This window comes from Homo sapiens, chromosome 8 (genome assembly GCF_000001405.40).
Source record: "Homo sapiens chromosome 8, GRCh38.p14 Primary Assembly".
Classification (NCBI taxonomy): domain Eukaryota; kingdom Metazoa; phylum Chordata; class Mammalia; order Primates; family Hominidae; genus Homo; species Homo sapiens.
This window is the reverse complement of record NC_000008.11, coordinates 61,656,114-61,677,727: the sequence shown is the minus strand read 5'-3', so window position 1 is coordinate 61,677,727 and position 21,614 is coordinate 61,656,114. Positions and strand designations below refer to the sequence as shown.

Sequence of the window (21,614 nt, the reverse complement as noted above, 5' to 3'; positions counted from 1 at the left end):
ACTTAGTTGGGATTATAGATCTTTGTTCACAGCATTTGTCTGCTGCTAAATTCAGTGAAAACATTCTAGGCTTGTCAAAAAGTAATTTAAATACCAACTGCAATTTGCGTTTTTCCTACCAAAAACATGAACAATGACATAATATAGTTCTTTTGAGTAAAGCAGAGAAAATTCACTATAATCTTTAAAACTTTTAAATTAGTTGTCGTCTTATCCTTTATCTGCCTATCTTGATTGCTGGTAGTTATACTACATGGAGACATTGTGTGTTGCCAAAGCCTTAAATGACTGAATTACGTGGTTCCAACCAGAAAAGCTCAGTGGTCATGGATGTTCACATTTCTTACAGTCAGAACACCCCACCCTGTTATTCCTCCTCAAAATTAAGGGCTTGGTATACAGCTTGGTAGATTCTGATACCTACTAGAGCTAAGAAACCTTTGCTACCCAGAGCCAGTTCTTCACAGGAAAAAAACAAATGATGAAAACAATATATACTTTGATTTATTTCTATCCTAAGGCCTGTTTGGGGTCCAATACTTAGTTGTAAGGGGTCTTAGCAATAGAAGCTAATTTCACAGGCCCATGGGGAGAGGAATTTGGAATGTTCCTATTGCAAGTGACCAGCTAAGGCCTTGATCACATTTCATATCGGTAGGCAAAGTGAATTATTATTAATAGCTGACTCTTGTCATTGGCCAGAATTACAGGACCATGAGTCAGTTGCCAGAGTTTTATAGAGCTACCACATTTAATAGTGTTAAAATTTAAGTGTTAAAATTATCTGAGTTACATAATTTGAGTGTATTTTTGCCCACCTATGGATGCTATAAATGGTAATACTGCTAATTATATTAACTCCAGAATTTCCTAAGTCAGCTCCAGGTCTTAAGTGGGGTGGTGGTGGGGGGAGGGGAGAAGTTTGAGGAAATAAACCTTTCTAGTTTGAATGAACAAATGAACGAATGTGTGTATAATCAACTCTCGATAAAATCTGGTTGGTAAATGAGCAAATCTGGAGGTTGTCAGAGTATATATCTTTTTTTCCCTGATACTGCTTTTACTCACTCTTCCTTTTACTGTCAACTGATTTTTCCATTACTGTCCATTGATTTTTGATGATAAAATTTTGTCTTTCAACTCAACACTCTAATGAGAGAAAGGTAAACCTGGGTAGGGGCTGGTAGGAGTGGTGAGGCTTGGTCAAATTGTGGCTTTCTTTTGACATTTGATTGAGAGTTGATTGTAAGGTGTGCATTTTAATGGACTTCTTTATTTTCCAAATACCGTTTCTGTAAACCTCTCTGACCTTGATGCACCTCGCTTTTGAGATCACCCTTCCTCCACTTCTTTTTTCCACCTAACTGCTCTCCTTATTTTCTCTCTCTCTTCCTTTATTCTTATGTAGGCCTGACCAAAGATGGCAGTAATGAAAATATTGATTCTCTTGAGGAAGTCCTTAATATTTTAGCAGAGGAAAGTTCAGATTGGTTTTATGGTTTCCTCTCATTTCTCTATGATATAATGACTCCTTTTGAAATGCTAGAAGAAGAAGAAGAAGAAAGCGAAACCGCAGATGGTGTTGATGGTACGTCACAGAATGAAGGGGTTCAGGGAAAGACTTGTGTCATATTGGATTTACATAACCAGTAACCTTGATTCAGGGACTGAAGTCATTGGCTAATGAACACCTGAAGCAGCCTCCTTTTTCTTTTCTTTCCTTGGCTTATGCAGGGCTTAATGTGCAGTGGGGTGGTTGTGATCTTACCGTGCAAGTCAACCATGTGATCTTGCCCAGTACAGCTACTAGCTAGTCCCTTGCTCGCTCAGCTCCCCCAACTTCTATTGAAGAAAATGGTACTCCTCATTCTTGTAGTCAGCTACAAAGTACACTGAAAATGATGTTCTTGGTGGTATAATTGGTTTCTGTATCGTTTTGTTTCAACTCATGTATTCACTGAACTAAATTTGGACACTTAACAGCAAATTGTGTTGTGGTTAACCCTTGATGCTTGTCTTTCTAACACACTATTAATTATGATGATTCTAATGGATTTCATTATAAAAATATTTCTGGCATGATTTTTAAGTTAAATGCTTCTCTGTTCTTTAACATGACTGATGTATAAAATGATGGTTCTTTACTAAGCTGATATTTTTTATTGTAATTTGTTTAGGTTTGTCAGATAGGTTCATACAAATTTCTATGTAAAATTCTGTGTTAATGGTGCTTTTAAAATAATTTAAAAATAACTCCATGTTTTTGCCTTAGAGTAAGTTAACTTACTGTTTTCAGATAGTAGCATGACATATTTCTGTCTGTGAAAGCAAAATTTATTTTAAATTTTATTTCCAAATATACATCCAGAGAAAGTAATTTGTATTTTTTTTAAAGTAGGCATATTACACAAGAGGGAACATGTGAATATGTATCTTAATGTTGTACATATTAAAATTATTCATCCTAAATAAGTCTTTTTCCATTTTTTCCTTCATTAACTTATTAATTGGATATTGATTTTGGCTTAGATGTAATGTGATTTTTAGAATTATAAACTTATTGAAGTGGTAATTCCATTTAGGGCAGTAAACTTTTCCCATTAGAAAGCCTTAAAAACATATTTGAATCAATTGCTTTAAAAATGAGTTTGCTTCAGTAGTAACCAAAACAGGTGTAGCAGCTATATACAAAATGCATTTCTTAAAATGAGATTTCATCAGTTTCCCCTCAAGCAAAGCTCTTCTAGGGATAAGGAAGATAAGGAAAGGGATGTTACTTTTTGAAGGAGTGATGTTCCGTGGTTTTAAATCTCTTCCAGCTTCTCTAGGATTTTGCTTAGTGTTAGTTTGTCAGAGAGCTAAAAATTTGAAAATGCTTGCACTTCCTCACGTTTTATTTAACTATAATTTCTACTTTTCAAATATTTCTTGTCTTCTATATCTAATCAAATTACTTTCAATAAGTGTATCATTCATCCATTTATTCTGAGGGGACTATGACAAATTTAAATTGTTATGAATTACTCTTGTAGGCTGTCATAATAACAGCCTGAAAGTAGCAGCCTCAAGTCAGCATGGGACATCCATTCCCTCTGCCCACCATTTACCTGTGTCAGCAAATACTGTCCAATTTGCTAATCTTATTAAAAAGCAAACATTCTGTAGCTACTTTTGGATGTGGATATACACACTGGACAATAATCTCTTAAAGTTTAAATGACTATTAAAGTGACTATTAAAGCTCTTGTTTGTCTTGCCTGCACTAATGGGCAAATATGTTTTATTCTGTTAATGCAGAAGATAGTCTGTTAAAGCTTCTGTTTCCAAATATTCAAGGACTTCAGTTAAGCTGTCACTTAGTAGCATGTTCTGCAACAAATGAGTATCATTCAGTAATGTTCCTTCTGAAAATTTATTCAATCTTTGTATTTATTGTGTCTTCTGCTTTCATACTTGGGTACTATGAAATATCAAAGTTTATTAGGTTTAAATTCTAAAGGAATCTTCAGCCCCACTCAATGAAATTCACCCAGCCTAATTTCCGGGATATACTTTTTAAAGGAATCTTATTTGTTAACGTGTTGTTACTACTAACACTAGAAGATATTCGATTAATTGATAAGAAGTAAATGATTAAATTTTGTGTTAAAAATATTTGAAATTACTAATTTTTCATCAGGCTTTATTTGCCCTACTAATGCATATTTTATGTACAGAAATTAATTATGCTTTATTTTTGTAAGTGAAAAACAAGAATGTGGGATAAAAATTTGCTACTTATTTTGTACCACCTCTCATTAGTTCCTCTGAAAGCCTCTGATGAAGGTGACACCCAGGTAGCTGACGAACCCCTGACTTCTGTGACTTCCGTCAACTTGTGCCTAAGGCTTGTGTGTGTGTGTGTGTGAGAGAGATAAAATAAAGGTATTTTATTTTATCTCTGCACTATAAACTGCACTATAAAGTATCTCAAAGCTGATCAAAATTACTTCACCTTAGTTTGATTTATTATGTATTGCTAAAATTCTTAATTTTCTAAGCGTGTATTTTCTGACTTTGTTTCATAATATAAGTCTTTTCCTACCTCATGTCTTTTAAACTTAAGAACTAAATTAAGGCAAAATCATATCCCATTAATTTGAATGTTTATATAGTTATGGAATTTTAAGTTATACTGTATTTACTTTACCTTTTCAGAGTTGAGAAACTCTGTGGAACAGGCTTCGTGTTGAGATATAGTGTTGTCTCCTCAGAGTCACTGTTCTGGCTTATTCGGATGTGCTGACATTTGTCCGATTGCAAAGACGCTGGGTTCTCCGGAGTTTGGCACGAAAACAAGACAGCAGCACTCTGGGGATTCTTTTCAGCCCTTTAGCTTCCTTCAGCCTGCCTTGCTTTGGGACATGAGTGGTGGGTATAAGTCAGTAGGGGAAGTGTCTTCTGGGTGCCAATTTTACCCAGTCCTGAGGCCTGGCTGTCAGCCTGCTGCCCTGGGGATCCTGCAGACGCCTCGGTGCTGAGGACATATGGAATAGTGGGCTGTCCTGCATTTTCATCTTGTCCTTGATTCTTTCTTTATTCTAGAAATTACCTCCCTGTCTTATAGAGCTGTATCCAGACATGAAAGAGGGACTATTTTCTGTTTGAATTATTTTTATTTAGTTAGATAGAACAGATTGTCTACCTTGATGTTTGTGACTTTGGATAATTATCAAAAAATTAGATCTAGCACAGCCAGTTATTCTTAATTTGGTCACTTGACAGTTAACTTTTTGGGAATTGATGCTCCATGACCCTTTCTAAATAATCCGCTGGGCTAGCTCCTTAAGTCTATAAAACATACAAGAAATTTTCTGTGATTTGGCTGTGGAATCTTTGATCACAATGCATATTTGGAATGCTTAAAGAAACTCAGTGACCCAGACTTTATTTTCATAAGTTAAATGATGGAACCAGTATTCAGAATTCACTGCCTTTGTTATTTGTTGAGATGACCCTGTAATACTTAGGAGTTAGATATTAAGTAGTTTGTGGACTCCTTGAAACTAGGAACCAGATCTTCGGTTTTATTTGAATTCTCCTTCAATGCTAAGCCTTGCATGTGATATTCATTAATATCATATGAATAATGTCATATGCTGGTGTGGGTCCTGAAGGATGAGGAGTTACTCCTTGCATAATAAAATACTGAGTTTTTTTTTTTTAAAAAAAACTGGTTTAAATAAGTGGTAAAATTATTGGACATATTTTTTGCAATAGAAATGACATTTTGAGTTTCTATAACAAACCTATGCTAACAAAAGTCTTCAGGTGACCTTTCCAATCTCCAATTTGTATTTGAATCTGCATTTTACCTTTTTTTCTCTGTCTCTGGATGTAATCCCTTTCTGCTTATTTAGTCTTTCAGTTTTCTTATGTTCTGATCCTCCGTTCCCCACTTACTGTAGAGGGTTGGTGGGTTTGTAGCTTTTTCTTCTTCTTTTTTTAATCTGTACTATATTATTACATCTATTTAAAAATAAAAAAGCAATTGGTGTAGTGTCCTGACATGCATTTTACTAAGAGTAGACATCCATTCTAGAGGAACAGTCTGTCTCGCTAACAGGATGGTTACTCAGACATTTAGGGCCTCTTTTTGCTATTTGTAGTCAATGTTGAAATGATTACGATGTTCCAGTATGGGACGGAGGAAGATGAGAAGGCTTACAGTGACTCACAGGTCTCACTAGAAATGGTGAGAGTGGCTGAAGTGACCTGAGTATGAAGTGATATCCAGACCAATTCTAGAGCTGTCTGAAAGTCTGAAGTAGCTACTTGTGTATCTGTAATGCAGCCAGTCTTCTAAAATCATGTCTATTGCATGTGGTGTAACCACAGATCTATCCATTGGCTTAATGGTTCAAACATTTTAATTTCATAGAGAACATTTGATTTTGAAAATGTAGAATAATGGCCTGAGGCAGTTGCCAAAATAGCATAAATTTCCTTTAGGCAACTCTCTTACGTTCTAAGGGAAGAATGTAAGATCTTTTTTCTAATTTCTGTATAAGAATTCCCAAATAGTTGCCAGAGCTATTAACTATCATCACTTTAAATACTTACATCAAAATAAGTATAAAAGGACGAAAAGAAAATAAATAGCATGGCAGTTGTTTTTCAGCATGTATTTTAAGCACATCCTAATGCTGCTTTGATTATTTCTTAAATTGGAATATATTCTATTAATTAAAAACAACTTTTGTCTGAATGGATTAAGAAATACCAAGATGTTTCCATTTTTGCTCGAATTGATAGAATTTTCTTCCTACTACTTGGAAACTATTTTTGAAGAGCCTTTGTGTTGTCATGAATTTTATTGATTAGTGGAATGTTCCCTTTTTTCTTTTTTTTCCCTAGACATTAGCTATGGTACTAAAGATAGAAAAGGAGAAAAGTAGTGCATGCTTGTGGCATTTTGGCACTGTAGGGAGAATCTACATCAACCAAAGTTGCAAATGATAAGAATTTAATTCTGTCAAGAATTAGGAAGAATAGAAAGGTGGGCCTTTCGTACCTGCCTTGTGGTTTTCCCTTAAGTCCACTTCTCTAATGCCCGCAAACTAATATTTTTTCCCCTCTACGTGCTGTCACTAATCTTGGATTACCACTGACCCCTTTCTCCATTACTGTATTTCCCATTGTTGCTGGGAAAAAAAAATCTGTTATAAAGTTACCTGTACTGAGCCTCTGTCGGGGGCATGCTGCTCCAACAGTTTCCCTTGTTAGCAGTCATTCTAAACTTTTCCACAACCTTCCTTCTTCCAGGGTCATTTTATTCCTCTGTAGAGATGATTTTGCTTTCTGCTTTCCTAAGATAATCTAGTGTGGCTTCATTCCATTATTTTCTTCTCTCTTCCCTTTACAACATTACTATCTCAGGATTTTTTTGAGCTATTGTTTCTTGTCTCATTCACTCACCTTTTTTTTTCAGACACTGCATCCTCTGGTTTCCAAAGCTAGCCCTTTCCCTTGAGCCTGTACATCCTCCTGACCTCATCACCTCTCTCCTGTTATGAACTTAGCTTCTTTTTCTTACAGACATGCCTGCGTTTCCTCGACCTTCAAAACAAAACCCGGATAAAATTCTTCAAACTTTTTCCTTTTCTGTTCCCCTCAGAATCTAGGGAAATTCCATGTATGATCAGTTTTCTTCTAAGGAAATGAGGAAGGCTGATGTGAGCACCCTAGATTTTTGGTCACCTTTCCTTCCACCTATGTTTTCTCATCACTGTGGCATGACTGCCTTCTCTACTGCTTGTAAAACTGTATTCTGAAGAACCTTAGAGGATATTTAGTAAGTAACATAATAAAATAGTGCCCTCATCCTAAACCTTTGTTCATGTCTTCCTTCCTAAAACTGATCATTTCACTTTAAAAAAAAAACAAACAAACACATTTCCTTTTTTAAAAAATTTAATTTCATTTTATTTTAAGTTCTGGGATACAAAAAAAAATTTTTTTTTCTTTACTCTCTTTTTGTTTCATTGTTACTTAGGGACTCTTGTTAACTGTTTTTGGTGGTATACTTTTTTCATGTCTATATACTTTTCTTCAGAAACTGAATGTAATAATTGTTTAAATTATTAGCTTGGTCCTTTTTATGTCAAAAATATTGAAAAATTATTGGCTATGTTTTTAAGTTCAGAAAAGCATAAGATGATCCTTTGGAGTTTTATATCATGCATTGCACTTTGTTCATGTGTTCATTTCTATCACTATAAGGATTTATACCCAAACCAAAAAAGTTTAAAATAAAGCACAGCACTGTTTATTTTTATATGTTTCACTAATCTGATGCTAATCTAATATTTTGGTTTATTCATGACAAAAGTTAACTCTAGTCTTTTCATCCATATAGCTCTTTTTACCTAGATCATAACAGTGGGGGTAGGGAGAGGGCAGTCTGGGTTTCCTCACTCTACGTTTTAATAGGAAAATCTGGTTCTGCTGTGGGAGAACATGTAGGAGTCAGGAGGGGAACATAGCGGTACTAGAAGTATATTTTAATGTTTTATGCTAATGTGTTTTACACCTTAGATACTACTCATATTTAAAAGTGGGTATTATGAGAATAGTTTTGATATTTTATTCTGAAATAAACTTTAGTGGAGAGTGATTGGAAATAGCACTCATTATTGCTGGGTTATACACTGTTTTTGGCAGAGGTTAGGAAAGAATCAAGTTTTGTCTGGGAAAAATAATTTTTAAACACATGGGAATAAGTACTGGTTATGGTTACCTATGTATTTCATATAAGTGGACAAATATAACCATGGTCACGTTTCCATTTTTATGTTGTCAGTGGTAAGAGATACTAATAACATTTTTGAAGAATATTGATATTTCAACCAAAATAAATTACCATTCTCGAATGGATGACCTCAATTGATAGATACAAATTGCTATCAATAGTGAAAGGGGAGGTTTGAACAATATAATAGAACAGACATCTAATACTGAAAGTAGAAGTTTTGAGAAACGTACAAAGTGGGTTTTACAATTTACAGCTGCAAAAATGTCAGATGGCTTTGGGGACTTTCTTGTGACCACACCTTAGACCTTCGTTCTTTAGTGACAGGCTAAAGGCCACCCTTCCTGAGGAGATGAACACTACATTGCACCTCCAACCCTAATGTGCCTAAGAAATGGATTGGAACTTTACAAAGTTTGCCAATACATAGCATAAACCAGCCTTTATGTGACTGAGAGAGAGAATTGGGAAGATCAGTTCATTGGGATGCTAAGTACAGCCTGGTTGGAATAAGAGTTAGAGGTATATTGTTAGAGACTCAAAAATAAATCTATTATCAGAACTTTCATTTGCCAAGAGAGGAAATAGAAAGCTATTGCAAAGTTTTTAGAGTGGGTGAAAAATGTAAAATGTATGTACATAATACTGTCATTCTTACTTGCTTGTATAATTTTTTAAAAGACAGTGCGAACTGGTGGAAGAGCAGTGATTGTTCAAACAGTAAAGATGAACTCTATCAAAATATGCTATCCTTTTTTGGATGGCAAGTGTGATTGAGTAGTGAAGTAAGGTCCTTGGTCCTTCACTCTAGTATTTTTAATTGATCATCTGTGACCCAAGCGGAAGTCTACCACTGAGTAGAAAATGCAATTTCCAGTGGCAATTAAGTATTTCTAATGCCAACAATTCTTAAAGATCTAAGCCAAATTGTGAAGTTGGTTAAATCATAGGCTGATTATAATGCATTTATATGTTAAAGATAGTGAAAGGAAAGCTTTAAAGTGACAAATAAGAGAGATATTGGAGTATTTTTTAATGATGAATTTAACTAACTTAACATATTTTATAGTGGCATTGATTTTACCTATTTAATAGACACTTATTTTTGAATTCCCTTAAATTTTCTGTTTATAACCTATTTTCATCTTGTAAATGTCAACAGAAGGACCCAGTGGGGTAGCCAAGAGAAAAACTAAGGCTAAAGGTATTTTCATTTTTTCAAATTAGCCTTGAGTGAATCAAGTTTAATGTTTGAAAATGCATGACATTTTCTGGGAATGTTAATATTGCTACTAATGCTAAACACTATTGCTTTTGGGTCTTGCTTGGGTGCAACTTAGGTTATAAGTAGTTTTATCAAGATTTCATCAAAGGATTTTCTGCTTCAAGCCTATAATTTTAAGTCATTATCTTTTCATGTTATCAAAGCTTTGTAATAGTCTTTAAATTAAGAATGTATATATTATACAAATATGTTATATTTGTTATGATGTATATATTAAATTTACATGTACACATCTTACCTTGTTCCCTAAAACCTTTCTTACTTTGATTTTTTTGAATTACTTTTGGGAAAAAAAGATGAAGTCTTCAGTAATTGTTTTTATTTCTCCAAAAGCTCTCATGACACTCTGTCTTAGAGCACAGTGAAAGCTAGTGTGATTCAAATGTGTAGTTTTCAGTAAAATGAAAACTTGGATGTAAATGTATAACCCTACATTACATTGACATAGAATTTACTGTGTTTGATATTTTAATTCATTAAAAATTATTGTCCGGGCACGGTGGCTCACGCCTGTAATCCCAGCCCTTTGGGAAGCTGAGGCGGGTGGATCACGAGGTCAGGAATTCGAGACTAGCCTGAGCAATATGGTGAAACCCTGTCTCAACTGAAAATACAAAAATTGGCTGGACTTGGTGGCAGGCACCTGTAATCCCACCTACTCAGGAGGCTGAGGCAGAAGAATCGCTTGAACCCGGGAGGCAGAGGTTGCAGTGAGCTGAGATTGTGCCATTGCACTCCAGCCTGGGCAACAGAGTGAGACTCTCAAAATAATAATAATAATAATAAATAAGTTATTATACCTGTCAGCCATTTGTAGACTAACAGCTCAGTATTACAGCCTGACTTTATATGCCAGTGGTTATTCTTGTTCATATGTTAGTAGTCATATTCTTTGTGGGTAGAGGCATGGGGGATGTGCATGCCTCTATATAAGCCTGTTTTTCTTTATAAGCCTGTGATATTCTTGTGGTCATTTCACGGGCTTGGCATATTGTTTGTAGTTTGTTTTTTTGGTGAAATATGAACAGATGAGACTTACTATGTGATTCACAGGGTTTTGTGATTTATATTTTAAGATCAGGAACTTTTAATGGTTTAACCTCCTATCTCTTCTGAATAATTTCTGGGGATGAAAACAATTTTCACCATCTTATTTTTATATAAATAATGATGAAACAAATGGACAATAAAATATTTTACTTCTTGATCTAGAGAAGCAAATTAAACATTAAAGACTGAATTTTTTAAAAGCAGTTTTCAGAATAAGACATGATAGCATTGCACATCCATTTTACACTTTTGCAATGCCAGTATCTATGTTACTGTCCAAACGCATTGAAGTAGAATGAAGACTCAGCATGATCCTGAATGAATACTATTCTGTATTCTTAAAAGACTGTAATAAGGTTTTTTAGGAAGAACTGAAGAATCTCCTGGTTGATCACCAGGAAATTCAGTTAATGGAGAAACCCTATGTGGTGTTTTTGTTTGTTAATCAAGATTTTATTAGACAGCCTAGAAAGACATAGTGCTTTTAGTGAGCACTGCAAATCTAATGCTCATTTTGAATACCATTTGTGCTATGTAAGTTTTATGTGATTTTGATGGGCAAAAACATCTTTCACATTTTATTATATTAAAGAAATATTTCATTTTCTTTGTTTCTGCTTAAATGTGGCATTGCTTCTGCTTAAATGTGGCATTGCAAACACCTTACCTTATGATTTCCTTATGAGAGTACAAACAGATGAAATTCAGAGCTTTTGCTAACTGCTTTATTACCATGTAAAGCAAGTTGAAAGCAATACCTTCCATGAGATTTGGAATTAGCTGTGTGTTTCATTTAATTGCTCTCTCAACCCAATGAACTAGAAGACGTGTGTTAGCTTGAGTTGCTCTACATGAATTAACAGGGAAACATACTTAAAGGAATACTGATTTCATGATGAATATAAGCAGAAAGAGAATTCTAATTTTTCCTTTTAAATACTACAGATAATGATTTAAAAATGTCATACACATGACAATTTTTTCCTAGTTAACTAATAAAATGAAATTATATTTAATTTTATTTACATATATTTGTCTTCAAAGAAGCACGTGTATTTTAAGGACATATGTTTTTGAGCTAAACATTTTAAATTATCTTTGTATATATTCTTACAAATTATGAAAAATTTGTTCTTACGTTGCCAGTGTTCCTTTAATTATAGTTACAAAGTGTGAGTTAATACTTTGTGCAAAGCACTGCCTTCGTGGTGCCCTCAATTTTATAATATTGCATGTTAATGTTTTAAGACAAGTCATACTATATTTCAAGATGGAAAATATGACAAGCTTCTAGCATTTTTTAATAGTTGATATTTGATAGAGATTTGCACCTATTTTTAGCCACCATAAAGACTAGTGAATTAAAGTAACTTTCTGAATGTGCATTTCCTGTGTGTGGAGAGATAAAAAGAGAATACCTTTTCACTAACTTCCTGTTCTGTGATTAAGAGATCCTGTCAATAAACATTTTTTCCTTTAATTGGAAAATCTGAAAGTTAAAGAACTCACTAAAGAAGAGCTCAAGAAGGAGAAAGAGAAACCTGAGTCAAGGAAGGAAAGTAAGAATGAAGAGAGAAAAAAGGGGAAGAAAGAGGATGTCCGAAAGGATAAGAAAATTGCTGATGCAGACCTATCCAGGAAGGAGTCTCCTAAGGGTAAAAAGGACAGAGAAAAAGAGAAAGTGGACCTAGAAAAAAGTGCTAAAACCAAGGAAAATAGGAAAAAATCAACAAATATGAAGGATGTTTCTAGTAAAATGGCATCCCGAGACAAAGATGACAGAAAGGAAAGTAGAAGTTCTACCAGATATGCACACTTAACAAAGGGAAATACCCAGAAAAGAAACGGCTAAAGCTCTGGCATCATCATCCCAGAACATGGTCATGTTCCAGATTGCAGTTTGTTACAAAAAAGCATGGAAAATGTAATATTGCTCTGATTGGTGAGGGTGTGTAAATTAGCCATTGAATGTATCATTGGTGCTTAGCAAGTAAATTACCTGAAATTTAAATATACCGTCTCATACTTCTAAATGTAAAAACATTTTAAAAATGTCATAGAATATGATGTAATAACTTCTATTTATTGATCATGTATTCAGATAAATGTATATGTATCATGAATTTTTATGGATTAATATATTGAATACTTTCATTGACGTTAAATAAGAATATTAAGATTTTAAATGTTATTTCTGTGCATAATGCCTTGTAACTTTTTCAAGTATGCTAAATACTCAGGGAGATGGATTTGCTCGTTGTTTTCTTCCCTCCTTCCCCTTCCTGCTTCCCTGTTTTTCTCTTTCGTGGACACCTCCCCAGGCTCATGTGCCACCACCTTCCCTCCTCTCCAGCCCTCCCAGCCCTCCCGCAGCCTTTCAGGGGGCCGTTCCTCAGGCTTTTCATGGGTTCTCCTTCCCCTTTTCCCTCTTATCTCCCCTTTTCTAGTCTCCCTCCCCAAGTCTTTTACTCTCTCCTTTCCTTCACTCCTCACCTCACCGCTGCCCCTCACTCCTGCATGCTTCTCACTCCTGACCTCCCTACAACAACCTCACCCTTCTCCCATCATCCAGTACATACTTAGTGCTTACCATGTGCCACATACACTGCTCCGAGAACTGTGGCCATAGCCATGAATAAAGGGGAGAATTGTATTTAGAAGAACAGTTTCAGAACACTTTTATTTATGATACCTTTATAGTCTTAGAATAACTATAGAAAGGTTTTAATTATTTCAGATTAGAATGTACTTTCATTTTATATCACACTTTTTTTCCATTATTTTGGTTGAATGGCATACATTTTTCATATTTGATTGTGTCATTATTATTTACCATTTCTAAGGAATTGCAAATGTAATCTCTTCACTAGAGATCAGAATTTAGCACCTTAGAAAACATTTAATATAAAAGTGAAGTTTTAGTGAGAAATTAATTCTACAAATGGTTTGTACTATTCTGTGCCTCAAATATTAAATATCTAATTGTGACTACTGTGAAATGCAGTTAGTTGATAATGATAAAATCTCTGTGGTAGCATTTTTGATTCTCTTAATGTTAACCTTATTAACAACAGAATCAAAAATGCTACCACTAAGATTTTATTTTTTAAAACATATTTATTTACTTTTTTATGAAGATCTTAAAAACGAGATTTTTGATCTAATTAAAGATATTTCAACTCAGAAATGAGTATGTTTAAGTGTAAATATTTCTAAATGTATTGTACACCTTTTTCTTAGGTTAACGCCTTTTACTATTTAAAGTCAAATACTTTACGACATTTAGTTGACAGAAACTTCAACTCAATAGAATTATACAACAGAGAAGAAATCCTAGAGAATATCTAATATCTCCAATATAATCCTGTTATTTTATTGCTTAAAAATTAAGGCCTGAAGATATTGTAACCTGATAACTTCGAGTTTTATGTTTTGATTAGTCAGGATTTTGCCATTTTTACACATTACAAGAACATTGTAAACCAAAAAGGGAATTCTACAGCTGCTTTGTTTGGCAGATACAGGGCACTAACTTCAGATGACTAGATCCCAAGTCTAGACCTGGAATCAGAGTTCTTTTTCCTCTTAGCTCACTTCCTAAGTCTTAACTGTGCTGGTTTCTGCCTGAGTTATTCTATTTGGAGATGCTACCACTTGATAACCAAGATGGCCCTCAGCAGGCTCCAGACCAGTCTCTAGTTTACCAATCCCAATGCAGATGGCTCTGGGAGAGATAATTCCAGTTGGCCTGGTTAGGCCTGGTGAACATCTGGGACCATTTTTGTAGTTGAGGATGGTGATTCTTCCCAGGCGCACACCTGTGCACAAAGCTTTGGAATGGGAGTTGAGTGGGTCCCACTCAAACTTCATCAAATGTAGGGCTTCTGGGACAAGAAAGTGAGGCTTTGAAAACTGGACAGAAGAAGAAGCAGAACATGTCCCCCAGGCATATGAAAGTTACACGATTCTCAAACCATATCCCCGTGTTAGATCTTTTCTCCTGAGATAAATGGAATGTTTTTTTAAAACTTATGTACAAAATTTTAAGTGCTGTCTTCACTAAAGATTTTTTGTTCTCTCTTGAAGAAGGGCAAACAATTATAAGTGAATTTGTTGAGAGCATTCTGGTAATTTTTACCTTAGTTTTTAAGTTCAATGGCTATGTGGCAGAAAATACATAAATACTAAATTCTAAACAAATGAGTGAAAATATTTTGGAATAACCTAATCATCAAAAGCACATAAGAATTGTCTATTGCTATTTAGTAAAGTACTTTGAAATGTTTTGGCTATCTCATTGATTTTTCCTTTGACTGTTAGCTCAAGAATTGAAACACCTCAACTAAAACATTTAAAGATCCTTTAAAAGCACTTGTAGACTAGAACTTGATTTATTTTTTCCCATCTCTCTTCTTTTCCCCTTCTCTTTTCTTTCTTTTTGTAAATGTTTCAACTAACTTTTATTGAAGTTGAAGTCACACTTTATCCAACTGCGTAATATTTAAGCTTCAACTAAAAACAAGCTTTCAGTCATGATTAGAGGGTTAAAATCATGCATTGCACTCTCAGTTTTACACTTTTTATTCAGTAGGTTGTTATTTCTGTATTGTTTGCTTCATATTGTTTTCTAAGTATAATTAAAACCAGAAAGGTTACCTTTTTAAATAAGCCAGCTACAACGGGACAAAAAATTCACAATACTAGGTAGTTGGGAGTCAGAAGCTGTTTTCGGGAAGACCTGAAAAGGGAAAATTAAGTACTAAAAATGTAAGTTTATTTTGCCATACCCCTAACAACATTTTATTTAAATTATATTGTGACTTGATTACAAATCTTTTAAATGACATTATTGGCATATTTTTCTTAAACTTTGTAAGAAAAAGATAACATTTCACATTTTAGTAGCAAAATCATTGTTAAGAGATAGTCAATTTTGTGAAAATATTTGAGTGCTAATCAATTTTTCCAGGATGATCTTCTATCCTTTAATATTTAGATACTTCCTTTTGAAGCACTTACATCATCATCAAATTTTTGGTCATTTGTTGTGTCATCTAATTTCTGTTTCATTTTCTAATGGCTTCGTATGTGAATGAATTTTAGTTATTCCTAACGTCATTGGTAGCCACTCTTTTGAATTTTTTTTTTAAACAAGTCTTTCAATTTTATTTTATAGGTAATTTGCATTGTATATAGATGATCGTCTCAAAATTTCACAATGAGAGACTGATGAAATTGACATAAATCAATCAGCATGAACACTTGAATTAATCCAGAGGACTACTTAAGTTAATTCTGTAGGTGGTTGCTTTATTGAGAATATTTTGTATTATGACCTGCTTAGCTATGCAAGTTTGTAACTTCAGAGGTCCTCATAATGATACTTGGATAATAAAGATTCCCCATAGACACTTCCATTGAAAAAGAAAAGAAGTAAACAAGTGTCATTTGTAATTTGAAATGTTTTAAGTTAACTGTCATGTTACTGTCCATGAAATGGATCTGGTGACTTAGGCTCTATCTCCTGACATTGATTTCTTTCTCCTGTGTCCTCAATTATTTCTTCTCCTGTTAATGCCCACTGGTAATAATTCTCAAAATCGATTGCTCAGAATATTCCATTGTAAAATGCACCTTGGAAATGGTTGTTTTCCTCATTTGTAAATTGAAGACAATGCCTATTCCTCAAGGTGGTTGTGAGAACCAGTCAATGTTGCATATGTGTAAACAGCCAGCACATGGTTGGGCATTCAGTTTCCCTTTATCATTGGTAGAATAAGAATAGTAATACTCAACCAAAACGTCTCAGTCAGGGGTTAAAAACTTGGAAGCACTGAAACTGTGCTTCCTATTCCTACTTAGGTCAACAGATTGCAAAACAAATATTTCAGTCCTTTATCCTTTGTAATGAATGTGTCTTTGTGAAATGAGTATAGTGGAGCCTGATTTATTCTATTGAGATCATTGAGGGGGCAAATGCAAATAATTATAAATGTTGCACATGAGTGAAGCCGTAAGAATGCTTAATTTTTAAAAGAATATTGTGACAACCTGAAAACACAAGATATGAAGGCTAGAAAAAAAGTTATGAAATAAACTATAGCCTTAAGTATATGGTACAATCGAGAAGCCTAATAACCAGCCTAATTGTGAAAAACTTATGTTTGTTTTGTATTCAGAACACATTTTTCCATAGATGAGATTTTATGGTCTTCAGAGATTTTTTTTTTACTCTGGTCCACAAAAATTGATTTAATTCTAATATCCATTTCTGCAACTCTCATTGTAACTATGTTTCTATGGAAAATGCATTTATCATTCTGCCTTGGGATATTAGGAATATATTTAGTTTTACTTCTGAATGTTCTCCAGAATTTCTTTGGTTACATCCATGGTGTTAAATCCATTCAGATACCTTACATGGACAAAAATCATGGATTGGCTCACATAATTGTAAAGCCCAGGAGTAGTTTTGGCTTTTTTCTTTTGTTATGCTGGATCTAGGTGCTTGAACAGTGTTCTCAACATCCATCTGTCTATGGACCCTCAGGAATGTTGGCTTTCTTCTCGGGCAGAGTCTCGTGTGCTCATCTTCAACCCTACTCCTTATGGGGTGGGAGATAAGAAAGCTGTGATTGGTGACACCCTGGGATATGTGAGTGCCCACTTTTAAACTGTTGGGTAAAGAAAAATTGGAGTCCTCTAAGGAAGTTAGTGTGTTTTTACCAGAAGGAGGAGGAATTGATGCACTGAAAGCAGGCAGATGATGGAGTTTGTTTCCCCTTTTTCTACCCATCCCATTCCTACTTCTCCCCCTGCCCAAATACAGAGAGGTGAATGGGATGGGCCAAAATAGGTATTTCAAAATAAGAAGCTGTGGAGCTAAACATTGGGTACTCATGGGCATAAAGATGGAAACAGGAGACACTAGAACTTCTAGAGAGGGGAGAGAGGGAGGGAGACAAGGGTTGAAAAACTAACTATTGGATACTATGCTCATTACCTGAGTGATGGAATCATTCATATTCTAAATTTCAATATCACGCAATATACCCATGCAGCAAACTTGCACGTGCTCCTTGAATCTAAATAGAAGTTGAAGTTATATTTAAAAATTAAAAAAAAAAAAGCTAGGGAGAAGAGAGAGATCTCATTCCAAACAATTATTGGTCAACAATAGTTTTAGACCATTGAAAGAATATAAGAGAATGTTGACTTGATAATAAATATTGCCATTTAGATGTCAGGTGATAAAGTTTATTTTGTTGTTAAGCTCTCTCCATTTTGCCCCATTCAGTTTAAAAGGAAAGTTTTTGTGTTTAGGAAACTAAAGGATGGGTGATATGTAGCAGACCCATAAGGTTATTTTCATGAAAAACCTAGCTTGGGCTAATCTGAAAGATTCCTCAATAACAGTCTTTGGTGTCTTATCCTTTCTTCTCCATTTGCCTAAGAATATAATTGTATAAGCTGGATGTTTATTCCTTGGCTATCGTTTTTACCTAGGAATCAATTTCTGCAAGAGCTCTGTAAGCCTTACAAAGCAGAAAGTCATCCATTTCTTTTTTCTTTGTTCTCATTTAGTGCCTCATTTGATTTCACTTTGTGTATCTATTTATTGCTCCATGTTAAGTCAGGTATGCATACATCATAGAAGTCTGCCTCTCATTTCCATCTTCTTTGCCTTATGTATCACTTCTCTTGTGTCCTATTAGAGGGAGATGATCTATGCTTAAAGCTGTTGGGTTATTTTTGATAATTATATAACACCAACATGCTGTGTCTATAGTTCCCATTTATTGATTCAACTAATATTTCTGAGTATCTACAGCATGCCGGGACTGGGCAAGGCATGGGGGATACAAGAGATTGAGGTGGCTGCAATCCCTCCAGTGAAATGCTGCAAAATAAGCAAGGGGCTGAGAGAGAAAGTAATGAGACTGAAACGATTGTCAGTACAGCCCACTAGTCCCTCTGCCTAGAACGTGCTCCTGAATGTGCTCCTGCTCTGTGTGGTGGGCTGCCTTTGTCTCTCCCACGGGACCCAGCCCAGTCATCACCTCTGCACTCAGACATCTCTGACCCTCCCAAGTGGCTGCATCCCACACACTCCAGTTATCGCACTCATCACCTTGCCTCATTCTTGGACTTTGCTGCCAGACTACGATTTATCTCGAGCACCTATCCTAGTAACTGACACTAATAGGCATTCATTGTTTGTTTATTGAATGGTGACTATACAAAATAAATTATCTAAAAATATTTCAGGTGTATATATACTGTTGAAGAATATTAGGAAGAAGAAAACCGTGTGTGTGTGTTTTTGAAGAACCCAAAAGATTGTTCAGTAATTGCAGTGTTTTAACTACCTTGGAAGTTACCTGTGACTGGCAGGGAGGGGGGTGTAAAGATTTTTTTTAGAAGAAATTAATGAAATGGTAAATTTTTGGAAAAATACTTATTTAAATTATCTCATTTAATTCTTAAAGCCCTTCTTAGGGGTCCTGTTTTGTCCCCTTTTTGCATTTGTGGAAACCAAAAAGTGTAGCTGTGGTTAACACTGAGATAGAATTCAAATGGAATTCAAAGGCATCCTCTTGTCCCAGGTGCCTGAACTTACACACCATGCTGAGTTGCATGTCCTTGAACTGTATTTTTCATGATGTTAAAGTGAGTCCACTCTCACCAGTCTTTGTTGAGTCCCTTCATTGGTGCTGAAACCAGGCTCTTGGGAACCTTATTGGCAGTGTTTAATTCTTTTGTAATTTATGTCTGTTTGAAATCTGTCTGTCCAGCTTGGGTTACTTGAAGATGCTTTGAATCTGGAATGGCTCTTACTGCATATCATGGGGCAGCTTTGAGTACCTGGTAGTCTCAGAATTTTGGTAAGTTCCGAGACTGCTGTTGGTATACTGAGGAAGATCTGTATTCACTGATTACACAAGCCAGGAGCGACAACGAGGATTAACGTGGTTACCTAGTATGCATGCCTTTCTGGTGTATTGATTTTCCAGAATATTTCTCAAATTTCATATACCTATGAGCCTTATTCTTGGGATAAATTGATTTATACTGCTAGACTCCTTGCAATTGAAACAGTACCACTTCTGAGCACTCACCCTGAGCACAGATAACCATAGCTGGAGTAACCTGGATTAGTAAGGACACGTTTTCTTTCATCTGTACACCTTTGAATTAGTAAACCAAAGATTAAAACACTAATTTTAAAAAACTTTTTAGCTTTTTAATGGGCTAGGTGTATGAAATTGTATGAAACAAAGTAAGTTTATAATTGTTTCCCAGGTTTTGTTGAGGGAGTGGCTTGCTTATAACTCTTAGGAGAAGTAAATCCTTTGTGTTCCCTCAAGTCACAGCCCTTGGATCCAGCATCCAGGGCCTTTCTGATATGCACACCTCTCTTGGTGCCTCAGTCACCTTTCTTTTCCTTGGTGCCAAATATGTGCCCAGTTGAGGAATTTCGTACAGTCACATGCCTCATGCTATCATTTTGGTTAAGGATGGACTGCATGTATGATAGTGGTCCCATAAGATCATAGTGTCATATTTATACTGTACCTTTTCTGTGTTTAGATACACAAACACTTTGTGTTACAATTGTCTACAGTATTCGGTACAGTACGTGCTGTACAGTTTTGTAGCCTGGGAACAATAGGATGTTGCATACAGTCTAGGTTTGTGGCAGGCTATACCTTCTAAGTTTGCCTGGGCACACTGCAATGTTCCCACAGTGGTAAAATTTCCTAATGGCACATTTCAACATGTATTTCCACACATTCCTCAGAATGTATCGCTGTTGTTAAGCAACACATGACTGAACTTGCAGTTCCCTACCCGAAACACACGTGTAACTTACATAGCCACATCCCTGATTTCCTTCAGGGTCTGTTCACATGTTATCAGTGAGTCCTTTTGCCAAAGTATTATGAATAGTCCCCACCCCCACTTTTCCCTAATGTGCTCCCTGTTCTGTGTCTTCCCCGTACTATCTGTCCCCATCCAATATACTCTAAATAGTTCATGTTTCTTATTTTTTAAGTTTCTCTCTCCCCCGGAAGGTAGGTGTGTTGTTTTCATTTACTGTAGAATAATGCCTTGAATTAATAGGTGCTAAATATTTGTTGAACGATTAAATACAACATACAATTTAGTAAGTTTACAACTACTGCATATTTATGGAAAGAAATATATTGATTCTTTCTCATTATGGGCAGCAGTGAATAAAGTAAGCTAATCCTGGGCTTGGGTATTTGTGTCACTCATATTTGCTATGAGTGGTTGATTTAAAGTGCTGATTTCATTTGCATTTCATAGCTTCATCTAATTTTAATTAAAATTGGAGGGGCAATTATATAGTGATTAAATGCAAATGTTTTATAATTTCCAAATTTATCTGATTAACCTAAAGAACTAAAACCAAGGTATGTTTTAAGGGAATTAATGTGTTTTCCAAATCATGTTGTGGCCATTGCTGTGGACTGGCAGTATCTATTCACCATACATAATGACTGGAAGGCGGCTGTGGACACCCTGTTCCTCTTGGCAGCACAGGAATGGAAGTGGGTCCCAGTCCTGATGATTAACACTGAAAAGGGAGACTGCTGGTAGCTTCTGGAAAAAATTTCCTCAAGCCTAAGAAAGAAGCAGAGCAAGAGATGCTCCTTTTGCTTCTGGACATCGCCTTGTCTGAAAAAGAAGCTTGCAGCTGGGGAGCTCTGATTGCCAGCCTGAGGGTGAAGCTTGACCTGCGATGCAGTCAGCCGCCTCCGCACTTCTTGTTTAGTTAGATGATAAATTTCCTTCCTACCCAACCATTATAAGCTGGCAGTTTGGTAACTGCAGCCCCAGGAACATCGAAACCGACACATCTCATGTCATAACCTAATTTTGAATATTTATTTCATTGCTACTTCATTGCCACTTGTACCTCATAATAAATCCATTTTTGAAAACCTTTCCTATGACTGAATT

At 35.3% G+C, this 21,614-nt stretch overlaps 1 protein-coding gene across 94 annotated transcripts in view; it reads left to right on the top strand.

Annotated features, from left to right (window-relative positions):
• The window catches only part of ASPH (aspartate beta-hydroxylase), a 214,037-nt gene that overhangs the window by 36,865 nt on the left and 155,558 nt on the right, over positions 1–21,614 (top strand). For 2 of the 94 annotated variants that reach the window (NM_032467.4, NM_020164.5), the window contains 2 exons: positions 9,453–9,494; positions 12,122–14,910. The exons of 90 other annotated variants lie outside the window; for them this stretch is intronic. In NM_032467.4, coding sequence (NP_115856.1) covers positions 9,453–9,494; positions 12,122–12,477 — 398 coding nt within the window. In that variant the 3' untranslated portion in view covers positions 12,478–14,910. Of the gene's footprint in view, positions 1–1,408; positions 2,470–9,452; positions 9,495–12,121; positions 14,911–21,614 lie in introns of those variants that run through there. 2 more of the 94 variants (NM_001164756.2, NM_001439196.1) reach the window with 1 other exon arrangement.